We start from the raw sequence: 15204 nt of genomic DNA, 5'->3' as shown, positions 1-15204 counted from the left end.
TGTTGCCAAAGGGGTTCTCTGTGCAGGGTTCTCAAACTTGTTATCAGGACTGGGTGGTAGAGTACAGTAAAGGGGTCGTCTCCTTCCCGTGGCCTTGTACATATCTGGGAGGTGTGAGAGTCAGGTGGCCCTGGTTTCTAAAGTTCTGTCCTCTGTCCACCACCAGGCCTGCCTGGGTCGCAGAAGAAACTCTAGTCAGTTGGAGCTGTGCCAAATCTGTCTCACTGCAGCAGGGTCTCCTGCGTGTGTGCTCTGTGCCCAGCTTGGGACATACTAGGTGCCATGTGAGCCGGAACCTCAGGGCCTCTGCTCAGCAAGGATTTTGACTGTTTCTGAAGCTGTACTGTTGTGATGCAGCCTCTGCCCTTCTGTCAAGACTCGGGGTGCTAGGTGGACCAAGGAGCTGACTGTGAAAGCCACGTTCCCTAATGTGTCCCCCATCACTGAAATGTCCTGGGGTGATCCAGAGAGAGTCTGATGAGTGAGAGCCAAAAACCTCTGCAGTATGTAGCCATTACTCTTAAAAGTGGCTTTTAAGAGATGGCTCTTAAAAGTGGCTTTTAAGAGATGGCTCTTAAAAGTGGCTTTTAAGAGATGGCTCTTAAAAGTGGCTTTTAAGAGATGGCTCTTAAAAGTGGCTTTTAAGAGATGGCTCTTAAAAGTGATTTTTGGCCCAGCACGGTGGCTTATGCCTGTAATCCCAGCACTTTGGGAAGCCGAGCTGGGCGGATTACATGAGGTCAGGAGTTGACCAGCCTGGCCAACATATAGTGAAACCCCATCTCTACTGAAAAATACAAAAATTAGCTGGGTGTGGTAGCGCACGCCTTGTAGTCCCAGCTACTTGGGAAGTTGATGCAGGAGAATTGCCTGAACCTGGGAGGCAGAGGTTGCAGTGAGCCAAGATCGCGGCACTGCACTCCAGCCTGGGTGACAGAGCAAGACTTCGTCTCTAAAAAAATAATAAAATAAAATAAAATATAAAATAAAATAATTGGCTGGGTACGGTGGCTCACACTTGTAATCCAAGCATTTTGGGAGGCCAAGGCAGGCTGATCGCTTGAGCTCAGGGGTTCAAGACTAGCCTAGGCAACAGGGCAAATCCCCATCTCTAAACTACCCAGGTGTGGTGGCACTCACCTATGGTCCCAGCTATTCAGGGGGCTGATGTGGGAGGATGGCTTGAGCCTGGGAGGCAGAGGTTGCAGTGAGCAAGGTCTCACCATTGCACTCCAGCTTGGGAGACAGAGTGAGACCCTGTCTCAAATAAAAACTAAAAATAGAAATTAAAATTTAAAAATTGTAAAAAGTAATTTGTGTTAGTTGTAGAAAATCTGGAAAAGCAAAGAGAAAAAGGAATCCAAGAGGACTGGACTGTGCTTGCAGCTCTCCACATGACTGCAGGGTTTCAGCAGACTTGAGCTCGGGTGGCAGGGCTGGGTGGACCCCCTTGCTCGGGTGGCAGCATGGACCCCCTGCCAGTTGCAGTGGATAGTGGGAGCTTCTGGGTGGATTTGTGAGTGTGGACACCTGTGGGCCTTTGCTGCCTGCTTCCAGGTGCGGTTGCTTCTTCTCTATCTTGTGTTCTGGTGGATCTCGACTCCACTTGTCCCAAGCAGTGCCTATTTGCTGCCCTCTTCTCTCTTGAGCTAGATAGGGCAGAATAGCTGTTCTCGTATCTCCACCTTGCATTGTGGTTTTGGCAGGCAACGGTAGGAACTGAGAAGTTACAGGCCTACTCATGGCCTCACTGCCACGAAGAGCTTGTCTGTTGCCTCTCTGTGCTTCCTGTCTCACCTCTCTGGCATGATATTTCTTCTCCACTTTGCTGCCATATAGAAGAAAGGAGTAAATCAGATGGCTTTACCTTACTTTCACCTGTGTCATAGCGTAAATAATTCCCTCTCCCCAGCTCCTGAAATATATCCTGCAGTTAGAAAAGAAGGCCCTGGTAGAGAAGTGTTGGGAGCTAAGCTGCTCTATCTATTCTAGTCACCTGCTCCGGGAGTAAAAGCCCTTGTTGCCGCCCTCCCTCCCAGGCTGACCCAGGCAGGTTGTATCTGTGAGTGTTTCTAGCATAGCCTGGCCCATTACCAACAAGGAAGCAAATATTCACCTCCTTTCTCCTTGGTAATCTCAAGTAAACAGGTGTTTGTTTTAGATGTCCTGAGATCCAGGCCTTCCAGAATGGCCTCATTTCCTTACCAGATCCTGATGCTGGAAGATCCTCCAGTGTATGAATGAATGGACAAAGTGGGGTTGTCCCATCATCCACCTTCAGCCTCCGGCACTGCGCTCAGGTGCTCGTTTGTCTGATCCTGTTGAATGGCTGCTTTGGGGGCTCTCCAGCCTCAAGGTAATAGCTGATAAAGCAGGCTCTGAGAGCACATGGGACATGCCAGTGGGCATGTGTTGAACTCAGTGGCAGAGGTGAGATTGGAGTCTAGGATTGTAAACTGTGTTTGCTCCTTGGAGCTGTGTTCTGAGATGTGTGTGCGTGGCATCAATGCCAGGGCTAGAGAGCACAGCTGGAGAATGGCTGCTGCTAACTCTGACTGAGCACTTTGGCTCCAGTATTTCCAAGTGGGTCTCAGAGAATTGACCTTTCCTTGGTGCCTGGTTGTGCTGGGCAGTGTCTTGGGCTTCTCTAGCTCCTCCCCCACCCAATAAATTAACTGTGTTCTAAAGAGCACTTGCCTGTCTCCACATCATCCCACTGCTCCTGTCCCACCCTTGTCATCTTCCATGGGAATGACTCTGGAAGTGTCCAGTTTTGGTTCTTCAATCCATTTTTCAAATATCAGCTGTTTGATCAGCTGTACCCTTTCTTTTTTTTAGAGACAGAGGTGGTCTTGTTATGTTGTCTAGGCTGGTCTTGCACTCCTGGCTTCCAATGATCTTCCCGCCTTGGCCTCCCAAGTAGCTGGGATTATAGGCTGAAGCCACCATCCCCAGCTTAGCCCCTTCTGTGGCTTCCCATTTACCTCTCATGAAGTTCAGACTCCTTAAGCTAGCATGCAGGCTGTGCATGCACAGCCCATTTCCAGATCCAGCTGTCTGTCTTTCTAGGTCTGCCCAGACTGTAACCCAGTCATACTAAACTTCTCTTAGTTCCCCAACCACGTGGCTGCTTTCTTGCCTCTATGCCTTTTCACATTCTGCTGTGTTTTTTTGTTTGTTTGTTTGTTTTTTGAGACGGAGTCTAGCTTTGTTGCCAGGCTGGAGTGCAATGGCGCAATCTCGGCTCACTGCATTCTCCGCCTCCCGGGTTCAAGTGATTGTCCTGCCTCAGCCTCACGAGTAGCTGGGACTACAGGCACCCGCCACCACGCCCGGCTAATTTTTTTATTTTTAGTAGAGATGGGGTTTCACTATGTTGGCCAGGATAGTCTGGATCTCTTGACCTCGTGATCCACCTGCCTTGGCCTCCCAAAGTGCTGGGATTACTGGCGTGAGCCACCGTGCCTGGCCCACATTCTGCTGTTTTTGAGTGGACCATGATCCTCTTTCTCCTGTCATTTACTTTACCAGGCCTTGGCTCAGCCTTCACTTCCTGAGGGAATTCCCCATTTTGAGTCAGCACACCTTGACTCTCTGGCTTGCCCTGACTTGACATTAGAACTGTTGGAGGGCAAGGATTGAGCCCAGGCCCCCACCCTTATGTCCCCAGCATCATACTGGGTACAGGGCATTTTTGTTGATGACATGAATGACTGGAAGAACCTCTATGAAAAGAAATTTATCACACCTGTTTTTACTGAATTACTCAACGTTAGCAAGGACCCAAGAGCTCCTAATAACTCAGCCATATTCAGGTGCCTGCAGAGATCAATAGAGGAAGGGTAGTGTCAGTGGCCTCCTATGGGGATTCTTCCTGTTCCATAGATGCAAAGATACTGCAGTATGTGTACAGGAGAATGAGTTTGAGGTTTTTGTTATGCCCTTTCCTTATTTATTTTTGTCTCATTCTTGGCAGCTCAAAGGGTACAAAGTGGTATCTCGCTGTGTTTTTTTTTTTTTTTCTTTGAGACAAGGTCTGGCTCTGTCACCCAGGCTGGAGTGCAGTAGTGCCATCTCGGCTCACTGCAACCTCCACCCACCCCAGGCTCAAGCCATCCTCCCACCTCAGCCTCCTGAGTAGCTGGGACTACAGGTGTGCACTACCATGTCTGGTTAATTTTTGTATTTTTGGTGGAAACAGGGTTTCACCATTTTGCCCAGGCTGATCTCGAACTCCTGGTCTCAAACAATCAGCCCTCCTTGGCCTCCCAAAGTGCTGGGATTACAGGCATGAGCCACTGCGCCCAGACTATTTTTATTTTATTTTTATTTTGAGACAGTGTCTCACTTTGTCACCCAGGCTCTGGAGTGCAATGGCGGGAGGCACTGCAGCCTCAACTTCCTGGGCCTCAAGCTGTGCTCCCATCTCAGCCTCTCAAGTAGCTGAGACTACAGAAAAGCACCACCACGCCCAGCTGATTTTTATATTTTTTGTAGAGATGGGGTTTTGCCATGTTGCTCAGGCTGGTCTTGAACTCCTGAGCTCAAGCAGTCCATCTGCCTCGGCCTCCCAAAGTGCTAGGATTATAGGCATGAGCCACTGTGCCTGCCCTCACTGTAGTTTTGATTTGCATTTCCGTAACGATAGTGATGGTGAGCATCTTTTCAGGTGCTTGCTGGCCACATGTACACCTTCTTTAGGGAAACATCTCAAGGCCTTTGCCACTCTCATTTTTTAGAGATGGGGTTTTGCTGTGTCGCCCAGGCTAGTCCCAAACTCCTGGGCTCAAGCGATCCTCCTGCCTCAGCCTCCCACATTGCTGGAACTACAGGTGCACATCACCATTCCTAGCTAAAAGTTTTAAAGTTTGATGAAGTTTACTTTATCTATGTTTTCTCTTGTTGCCTGTGCTTTTGTCCAAGAAATTATTGCCAAATCCAATGTCATGAAGCTTGCTATGTCTTTTCCTGAGAGTTGAAGTTTTAGCTCTTATGATTAGGTCTTTGATCCATTTTGAGTTGATTTTTATATATGGTGTAATATAAGCAAAAAACTTCTTTTTTTTTTTATTTTAGACAGAGTTTCGCTCTTGGTGCCTGGGCTGGAGTGCAGTGGCGCGATCTTGGCTTACTGCAACCTCCGCCTCCTGGGTTCAAGCGATTCTCCTGCTTCAGCCTCTCAAGTAGCTGTGATTACAGGCATGCGCCACTATGCCCAGCTAGTTTTGTATTTTTAGTAGCGACGGGGTTTCTCCACATAGGTCAGGCTGGTCTTGAACTCCCGACCTCAGGTGATCCACCCACTTTGGCCTCCTGAAGTGCTGGGATTACAGGCGTGAGCCACCGCACCTGGCCAAACTTTGTTCTTTTGTTTGTGATTATCCAGATGTCCCAGCGTTATTTGTTGAAAAAACTGTCATTTCCCCATCTAATGGTCTTAGCATCCTTGTTGAAATCAGTTGACTATACATGTGAGGGTTTATTTCTGGGATCTCTATTCTATTCCTTGGACTGTAGGTCTGTCTTTATGCGAGTCTTAAACTGATTTATTATTGTAGCTTTGTAGTAAGTTTTGAAATCAGAAAGTGTAAGCCCTCCAACTTTGTTCTTTTTAAGATTGTTTTGACTGTTTCTGTCCCTTGAGATTCCATATGGATTTTTCTATTTCTGTGGAAAACATCATTGGGATTTTGATAGGGATGGCCTTGAATCTGTATATCACTTTGGGTAGTATTGACATCTTAACAATAGTGAGTCTTCTAATCAGTGAACAGAGGATGTCTTTCCATTTATTTGTGTCTGTAATTTCCTTCATCAACATTTTATAGTTTTTAGTGTCTTTAGCCTCCTTGGTTAAGTTTTTTTACTTTTTTTTTCGTTTTGTTTTGAGATGGAGTCTCGCTTTGTCGCCCAGGCTGGAGTGCAGTGGCGCGATCTCGGCTCACTGCAAGCTCAGCCTCCTGGGTTCACGCCATTCTCCTGCCTCAGCCTCCCCCGTAGCTGGGACTACAGGCCCCCGCCACCATGCCCGGCTAAATTTTTGTATTTTTAGTAGAGACGGGGTTTTACCATGTTAGTCAGGATGGTCTCAATCTCCTGACCTTGTGATCTGCCCGCCTCAGCCTCCCAAAGTGCTGGGATTATAGGCGTGAGCCACCGCGCCCAGCCTACTTTATTTACTTTTAAGTATTTTTTTTCTTTTTTTTGGGTGGGGGACGGAGTTTCGCTCTTGTACCCCAGGCTAGAGTGCAATGCTGCGGTATTGGCTCACTGCAACTTCCACCTCCCGGGTTCCTGCAATTCTCCTGCCTCAGCCTCCCGAATAGCTGGGATTACAGGCATGCACCACCACGCCCGGCTAATTTTTGTATTTTTAGTAGAGATGGGTTTTCACCATGTTGGTCAGGCTGGTCTTGAACTCCTGACCTCGTGATCCACCTGCCTCAGCCTCCTAAAGTGCTAGGATTACAGGCGTGAGCCACCGTGCCCAGCTTAAGTATTTTATTCTTTTGATGCTATTGGAAATGGAATTGTTTTCTCAATTTTTTTTTGATTGTTCATTATAAGTGTGTAGCAATACAACTGAAAAGTGAGAAATAGAGTAACTTATTAGTTCTTTTTTTTTTTCTTTTTCTTTTTCTTTTTTTTTTTGAGACAAAGTCTTGCTCTGTCACCCAGGCTGGAGTGCAGTGGCTCGATCTCAGCTTATTGCCACTTCTGCCCCCAGGTTCATGTGATTCTCCTGCCTTGGCCTCCCAAGTAGCTGGGATTACAGGTGCCCACCACCACGCCCGGCTAATTTTTGTATTTTTAACAGAGACAGGGTTTCACCATGTTGGCCAGGCTGATCTTGAACTCCTGACCTCAGGTGATCTGCCTGTCTTAGCTCCCAAAGTGCTGGGATTACAGGCATGAGCCACCACACCTGGCCAATTCTTTTTTTTTTTTTTTTTTTTTTTTTGAGATGGAGTCCGTGTCTGTTGTCCGGGCTGGAGTGCAGTGGCCTGATCTCAGCTCAAAGCAACCTCTGTCTCCCAGGTTTAAGCGATTCTCCTGCCTCACCCTCCCAAGTAGCTGGGTTTACAGCCATGTTCCACCACACCCGGCTAATTTTTTTGTATTTTATTAGAGATTGGTTTTTACCATGTTGGTCAGGCTGGTCTTGAACCTCCTGACCTCAGGTGATCCGCCGACCTCAGCCTCCCAAAGTGCTGGGATTACAGGTGTGAGCTACCACACCCAGCCCTGCATCTGGCCAATTCTAATTTTTTTTTTTTTGAGATGGAGTCTTGCTCTGTCTCTCAGGCTGGAGTGCAGTGGTGTGATCTCGGCTCACTGCAAGCTCCGCCTCCCAGGTTCATGCCATTCTCCTGCCTCAGCCTCCTGAGTAGCTGGGACTACAGGCACCCACCACCATGCCTGGCTAATTTTTTGTATTTTTAGTAGAGACGGGGTTTCACCGTGTTGGCCAGGATGGTCTTGATCTCCTGACCTTGTGATCCGCTCGCCTGGGCCTCCCAAAGAGCTGGGATTACAGGTGTGAGCCACCGCGCCCGGCAAGTTTTTTGTTTTGTGCAATCTTTAGAGTTTCCCTTTCTTTTCTTTCCAGTTTTTTTTTTTTTTTTTTTTTTTAGACGGAGTCTCACTCTGTCACCCAGTGGCACAATCTTGCTTACTGCAGTCTTGATCTCCTGGGCTCAGGTGATCTTCCCACCTCAGTCTTCTAAGCAGCTGGAATTACAGGTGCACTTCACCATGCCCACCTAATTTTTTGTAGAGACAGGATATTGCCGTGTTGCCTAGGCTGGTCTCGAACTCTTGGGCTCAAGCGATCTTCCTGCTTCAGCCTCCCAAAGTTCTGGGATTACAGGCATGAGCCACCACACCTGGCAAGGTTTTCTACGTATGGGAACATGTCATCTGTGAACAGAGATAGTTTTCCTTTCCAATTTGGATGCCTTTCATTCCTTTTTCTTGTCTGATTGCATCATCTAGAACTCCCAATACTGTCTTGAATAGAAGTGGTGAAAGCAGGCATCTTAGATGAAAGGCTTTCAGTCTTCCACCATTGAGTATGATGTTAGCTGTGGGGTTTTTTTAAATTTATTTTTCGAAGCGGAGTCTCTCTTTGTCACCCAGACTGGAATGCAGTGGCCTGATCTTGGCTCACTGCAACCTCGGCCTCTAGGGTTCAAGCGATTCTCCTGCTTCAGCTCCCTGGTAGCTGGGATTACAGGCGTGTGCCACCACACCCTGCTAATTTTTGTATTTTTAGTAGAGACGGTGTTTCACCATGTTGGCCAGGCTGGTCTCGAACTCCTGACCTCAAGTGATCCACCCGCCTCAGCCTCCCAAGATGCTGGGATTACAGGTGTGAGCCACTGTGCCCAGCCAGGTTTTTCATATATGACCTTTGTTGTGTTAAGGTAGTTTCCTTTTATTCCTACTTTCTTGAGTGTTATTGACATGTAATTTAACATGCTATACAAGTCACCATTTAAAGTGTACAATTCGTGTTTTTTAGTGTATTCACAGGGTCTGCTTTGTTTCTCTCAGATTGGTTGGATGATAGTCTTTAAGTTTATGAAGAGTTTCTGGAAGATAGAAGAGTGCATCTTTTGGTAGCTTTAAAACACCATGCTTTTGGAAAAGACTTAATGTCACCCAGTATTTGAAGAGTGGGGGCTTATTCGCCTTGAACCCTGACTCAGCTGTGACCTCATTGGAATATGCAACCTGGGCTCCTGTGGGGCTGCTCCCTGTGTCATTGACACCTAGAGGTGGAATGGTGCCCAAATGTGGGTGTCAGCTTCCTCTGGCTGCTCTCCCCTTAGACAGTCCACTCAGATTCTCAAGTCGAGGCAGGGGTTTGTACAGAGGCTCCCGAGCCATCCACTAATAAACACCATCTTACCTGTGGAGCAGAGTCTGTAGGAAGGTGTTGAGGGCTAGCTGCTGGAGAAGGGAGAGGCGTCTCCTGTGGGGAGGCCTAAGCAAGTTGTGTTTTGAGCACAGGTGCTTTAGTGATTCCCCATTCCCATAGAATGTTGTGGAACCAGAGCCCTGTTGCAGCGACCAAGCATAACTCTTCTTGAGTGACCTTTGACCTCCCCGTTTGCACATGTGCTCCAAACATAAACCCTTACCTAGTGTCAGGAAGCCTATGTGCTGGGGATGGGATGACATGTGGTGTTGGGCATAGCCCCAGGCCCCTCTGAACAGGGCATGGTGAGTGGCTGTTGTCTAAATCAGGGAAAGCCCTGACTGTTGCACTTGTGCCTGTTGGACTGCTGACTGCAGGGCAGCTGGGGTCGTTTGCTGCTTGGTCAGCTGAGGTACTGAAGGAATGGAGACTGACTTTTGGCAGCCTCTGCCATGTAAAGTCAGGAAGCTGATTATTTGGGCTGCAGTTTTTCTGGAAAAATGTGCAAGTTTTAATCTAATGGGAATTCTGCCAGCAGGCTAAGACAGCTTCTGCTCCTGATGGTCCTTGAAGCTAGCCCCTCTGGCAGGAGGAGGCAGGCAGTTTGTGTGTTTCTGGGAATGACTGAGCAGTCCTGTCCAGCTACAGGCTATATTGGTTCATGTCTTTGACCTTTAAGGATCCAACTCTGTCTCAAATGCTGCTTAAAACAAAGCAGAAGACAAGTTCCCTTCGAACTATGAAACTCCCTCTTTGAAGTGCTGTTCCTTTTGCTTTGCTCCTTTCCCTTCTCTACCTTTTTCCCTAAGCCATGTGGGCCACGTTATCAGGGCCATATGCTGGGTTGTTTCCTTTCCTTGTTCCTGCCCAGCATGATTGGGATAGCTGATTTCAGAGGCAGGTGAGTAGGTCAGAGCCTTCCCTCCCTGCCTGACCCTTTATTTTGGTAGTAGAGGCTGCTCCCCCAAATATAGTGGTGCAGCAACCCAGAGAAAGGCAAAAGGGCATTTACTGCCAATAAAGGACTGGCAGGGGCAGTGTATTAGCCTTTTTTATATTACTATAAAGAAATACCTGAGACAGGGTAAAGAAAAGAAGGTTTATAAAGAAAAGAGGTTTAATTGGCTCACAATTCTACAGGCTTTACAGGAAGCATGGTGCCGGCAAAGGCCTGGAGAAGCTTACAGTCATAGTGGATGTTGACTAGGAGCCAGCATGTCACATGGCAACAACGGGAACAAGTTGGGGGGAGGTGCTATACTCTTTTAAACAACCAGATCTCGCAGGAACATAGAGCAAGAACTCGTTCATTACTGTGAGGACTGCCCCAAGACATTCATGAAGGATCTATCCCCATGATCTTAACACCTGCCACCAGGCCCCACCTCCAGCATTGGGTATTACATGTCTACATGAGATTTGGAGAGGACAAACATCGAAACCATATCATTCTACCCTGGCCCCCCAAATTTCATGTCTTTCTCACATTGCAGAATACAATCATCCCTTCCCACTAGTCCCCCAGAGTCTTAACTCATTCCAGCATTAACTTAAAAAGTCCCAAGTGCAAAGGTAAGATGGTATTTATTAGTAGATGGCCTGGGAGCCTCTGCCTCAACTTGAGAATCTGAGTGGATTGTCTAAGGGGAGAGCAGCCAGAGGAAGCTGACACCCACATTTGGGTGCCATTCTACCTCCAGGTGTCAATGACACAGGGAGCAGCCCCACAGGAGCCCAGGTTGCATACTCCAATGAGATCACAACTAAGTCAGGGTTCAAAGAGAATAAGCCCCACTCTTCAAAGAGTGGGAGGAGTGAGGGGGTCTCTGGGGGCCTCACACATCATTACTCCCAGCTTTGTGTGGTTTGGGAGGCCAATGTGAATGTATGCGGGGAAGGTAATGAATTTTGAGACCCAGAGAACAAGCTCGTTTGAGCAGTCTTGATTGATGATCCTATGTAGATCCAACTTGGCTTTACCATGTCCTGGTCTTTGGTGCAGACTGGGTTCTCCCTGTGGAACAATCGTGCATTGCTCTGTAAAGCACTACCTAGGATTGAGATGCTTTAGGCACATCTTAGGAATAGATTCTGTGCCTTAGCTACAGCCAGAATGCCAAAGGACTGGAAGCCATGAATTCATGACACTTTCCTCTGAAATTGAAGCCGGTGGTTCATAGTGACACAACACACGCAACTTTCTGTTTTCTCTAGCTGGGTGAGGCACTAAGATGCTTTCCATTAGCAAATCAAAATGTCAGGTTTCTCCAAGAACCATTAGTATGTTATAAGAGCCTCTACATTCATTGCTTTTCTCATTTTTCTGTCTTTTACCAATAAATGTTTGAGAAGGGAGACGCATGAGCATTTGCTAACCAAAAATTTTGTGTTTTTTTTTTTTTTTTTTTTGAAGTTACATGGGAATAGGACTCTCGGCTCAAGGCGTCAACATGAACAGACTTCCTGGTGAGTCACTGTTTAAGAGAACATTTGTTCTGCTCTCCTGATCCAATTGGGGTTGAGAGTCATGGTGGTAGCAGAGAGGCTGGGGAGGACTTTGTTTGCTAGCTGCCTACCTCAAGCCATGCTACTGGTTGGAGGATCCTGAAAGGTAGCCCTTGGGCCAGGATGGTGTGCATTTCCATTCCAAAAATTAATTGACAAGTGATTGTCATTAATGGAATTTGAACTGTTTGCCATCAAAGTCAACTGACCTGAGTTTGCTCCAGGTAGGGATACGCGTCAGTAGCCCTTGCTCCCATTGGCCTTGCTGAGCAGACTCAGGCATGTACTGGGAGGAAGACTGCTGCCAACCTTGGCTCCTTTGTTACTTCATCGTGTTAAAGATCAAAGTTTTTGGCCGGGCACAGCGGCTCACGCCTGTAATCCCACTTTGGGAGGCCGAGGTGGATGGATCACCTGAGGTCAGGAGTTCGAGACCAGCCTGGCCAACATGGTGAAACCCTGTCTCTACTAAAAATAAAAAATTAGTCGGGTGTGGTGGCACACACCTGTAGTCTCAGCTACTTGGGAGGCAGAGGCAGGAGAATCGCTTGAACCCGGGAGGTGGAGGTTGCAGTGAGCTGAGATTGCGCCACTGCACTCCAGCCTGAGCAACAGGGTGAGATTCCGTCTCAAAAAAAAAAATAAAATAAATAAAAAAGATCAAAGTTTTTAAGTGACCTCCCACGTGGAATGTGATTGAAGCAATTTCTTTTCTTTATTTTTTATTTATATATATATTTGAGACAGGGTCTCACTCTGTAACCCAGGCTGGAGTGCAGTGGCTCAGTCACAGTTTACTGCAGCCTCGACCTCCCAGACTCAGGTGATCCTCAGCCTTCCTAGTAGCTGGGACCACAGGAGCTCATCACCATGTCCAGCTAATTTTTTGTAATTTCTGTAGAGACAGAGTTCTGCCATTGCCCAGGCTGGTCTTGAACTCCTGGGCTCAAGCCATCAGCCTGCCTTGGCCTCCCTAAGTGTTGGGATAACAGGCGTGAGCCACTGCACCCAGCCTTATTTTTATCATCTATTATTTTTCTTTTGAGACAGGGTCTCGCTTTTCACCCAGGCTGGAGTGTAGTGGCGCGATCTTGGCACCACCTTCTCAACCTTCTGGTTGGCTCAACCTTCTGGGCTCAAGTTCTCCTCCCACCTCAGCCCCTCAAGTGGCTGGGATTATAGGCATGTGCTACCACACCTGGCTAATTTATAGGCATGTGCTACCACACCTGGCTAATTTCAGCTATTTTCTGCCCAGCAGCTCATACCTAGACCTGGACTGGCTGCAACTGGGGAGACAGAGCTTCTGCCGTGAACTGATGGGTTCCAGAAAATGGTCTTAAGTCCATTGGTCCCTTGAATCAGCAGAAGTGACATGATCCAGGCTTCCCTGACACGTCATGGGGTCAGGAAAAGTCCTTGTGTTTTTTTCTTGGCCTCCTGCTCTTTGTGCCTATGACACAGAGAAGGCAGCTGGCTTTCCCCAAACAGGGAGTTACACTCAGACCTTACGTCTTTTCTAATCAATGTTTAATGTGAATCACTGATTTTTTTCTAGTAGACTGATTTCTAATACTTTCAATCTAGGATGCTTAGGATTCAACTAATTGTCAGGAATCTTACTTTTTTCCCCCTTTGATTGATCTGAGTGAAAACTGGTTTTTCATTGTTAATCAGAACGTGTGTGGCAGTTTTCTTTGCATACTGTGTGGCTGTGTTCTTTGTTATATGAGCATCTGGCCTTGGCTAAGTAGTTGTAGCTGTAGTATCTGTAGCTCTACCTCTTAATGTACAGGAAAAATAATTTCCTGTCAAGTGCAAACTGATTCTTAATTTTGTTTGTTTGTTCTAGGTGTGCTCTTTCAACTTTTGCACTGAGTTGGTAGTGGAGAAAAGAGACTTTTATGAGCTTTTTTTTGTTTTGTTTTTGGAGACAAGGTCTCATTCTGCTGCCCAGGCTGGAGTGCAGTGGCATGATCATGGCTCACTGCAGTCTTGACCTTCCATGCTCAAGTGATTCTCCCACCTCATTCTCCCCTTTAGCTGGCACTACAGATACAAGCTACCATACCCAGCTAATTTTTCATTTTTTGTAGAGGCGGGGTCTCACCGCATTGCCCCAGCTGGTCTCAAGCTGCTGCGTTCAAGCAGTCCTTCTGCCTCAGTCTCCCAAAGTATTAGGATTACTGGCATGAGCCAGCCTGCCTGGTAAGGACTCTTTTTTTTTTTTTTTTTTTTTTTTTTTTTTTGAGACGGAGTCTTGCTCTTTCGCCCAGGCTGGAGTGCAGTGGCGAGATCTCGGCTCACTGCAAGCTCTGCCTCCTGGGTTGGTGCCGTTCTCCTGCCTCAGCCTCCGGAGTAGCTGGGATTACAGGTGCCTGCCACCACGCCCGGCTCATTTTTTTGTATTTTTAATAGAAACGGGGTTTCACCATGTTAGCCAGGCTGGTTTCGATCTCTTAACCTCGTGGTCCGCCTGACTTGGCCTCCCAAAGTGCTGGGATTACAGGCGTGAGCCACTGCGCCCAGCACTTTTTTTTTTTTTTTTTTTGAGACAGGGTCTTGCTTCGTTTCCCAGGGTGGAGTGCAGTGGCACAAACACTGCTCACTGCAGTCTTAACCTGCTGGGCTCAAGCGATCCTCCCATCTCAGCCTCCTAAGTAGCTGGGACTATAAGTACATGCCACCACGCCCAGCTAGTTTTTTTGTATTTTTAATAAAGACAGGGTTTCACCAGGTTGCCCAGACTCGTCTAGAACTCCTGAGCTCAAGCAGTCCACCCATCTCGGCCTCCCAAAGTGCTGAGATTACAGGCATGAGCCACTGCTCCTGGCCGGGGACTCTTTAGGTACCAATTTGGAATCATCTGTAGGATATATTGGGAAATTAAAAATATAAAGCATGGAAATATATGATGTGCTACCAAATGTGCAAAAAAAAGAGAAAACAAACATATCTGTATTTACTTGTATATGTATAGATCATCTTTGGAAAGCTACAGAAAAACTTGTAATATTTGCTGTTCCTTGGGAAGGGATGGGTGGCGGGAGCCAGGACTGAGAAAGAAAAATTTTCACTCACAAGCCTTTGGAATTTTCTTTCTTGTGAATATGTTATCTGTTTTAAAAATATAAATGTAATTAAAACAAAATAAACCAAAGCAAATGGCCCTGTATCAGGAAATCCTCATGTTTGTCTTTTAGGTAGTCTTAGGATGTGGTCTGTTACGCCATGTGTTGGACTTAGTATCCTTTGCTTCATATGTTCTTTTTTTATTTAAAGACAGGGTCTCACTTTGTTGCCCAGGCTGGAGTGCAGTGGTGCAAACATGGCTCACTGCAGCCTCAACCTTGCAGGCTGAAGCGATTCTCCTGCCTCAGCCCCCGAAGTAGCTGGGACTACCGGCACATGCCACCATGCTCAGCTAGTTTTTGTATTTTTATTTTTATTTTTATTTTTATTTTTATTTTTTTTGAGACAGAGTCTCACTCTGTCACCCAGGCTTTAGTGAACTGGCACGATCTCGGCTCACCGCAACCTCCACCTCCCGGGTTCAAGCTATTCTCGTGCCTCAGCCTCCCCAGTAGTTGGGATTACAGGCGCACACCACCACGCCTGGCTAATTTTTTGTATTTTTAGTAGAGATGGGGTTTCGCCATGTTGCCCAGGCTGGTCTTGAACTCCTGAGCTCAGTCAGTCTGCCTGCCTCAGCCTCCCAAAGTAGTAAGATTACAACGTGAGGCACCACGCCCGGCCGTTTTTGTATTTTTTGTAGA

At 47.1% G+C, this 15204-nt stretch overlaps 1 protein-coding gene across 6 annotated transcripts in view, besides 1 other annotated feature; it reads left to right on the top strand.

The window, feature by feature from the left end:
- Positions 1-15204, top strand: part of RANBP10 (RAN binding protein 10) — an 83491-nt gene that overhangs the window by 23138 nt on the left and 45149 nt on the right. For 5 of the 6 annotated variants that reach the window (NM_001320238.2, NM_001320239.2, NM_020850.3 and 2 more), the window contains one exon: positions 11337-11389. The exons of the other annotated variant lie outside the window; for it this stretch is intronic. In NM_001320238.2, coding sequence (NP_001307167.1) covers positions 11341-11389 — 49 coding nt within the window. In that variant the 5' untranslated portion in view covers positions 11337-11340. The remainder of the gene's footprint in view (positions 1-11336; positions 11390-15204) is intronic. 6 annotated transcript variants of the gene reach the window in all.
- Positions 1814-1963: an enhancer, noted in NCBI's record as "active region_10983". NCBI's record gives its function as "activates an Ori minimal core promoter by ATAC-STARR-seq in GM12878 lymphoblastoid cells {active_cell/tissue: GM12878}" and the evidence as "EXISTENCE:reporter gene assay evidence [ECO:0000049][PMID:35858748]".

This window comes from Homo sapiens, chromosome 16 (genome assembly GCF_000001405.40).
Source record: "Homo sapiens chromosome 16, GRCh38.p14 Primary Assembly".
Classification (NCBI taxonomy): Eukaryota; Metazoa; Chordata; class Mammalia; order Primates; family Hominidae; genus Homo; species Homo sapiens.
This window is presented reverse-complemented; position numbering and strand designations above follow the sequence as displayed.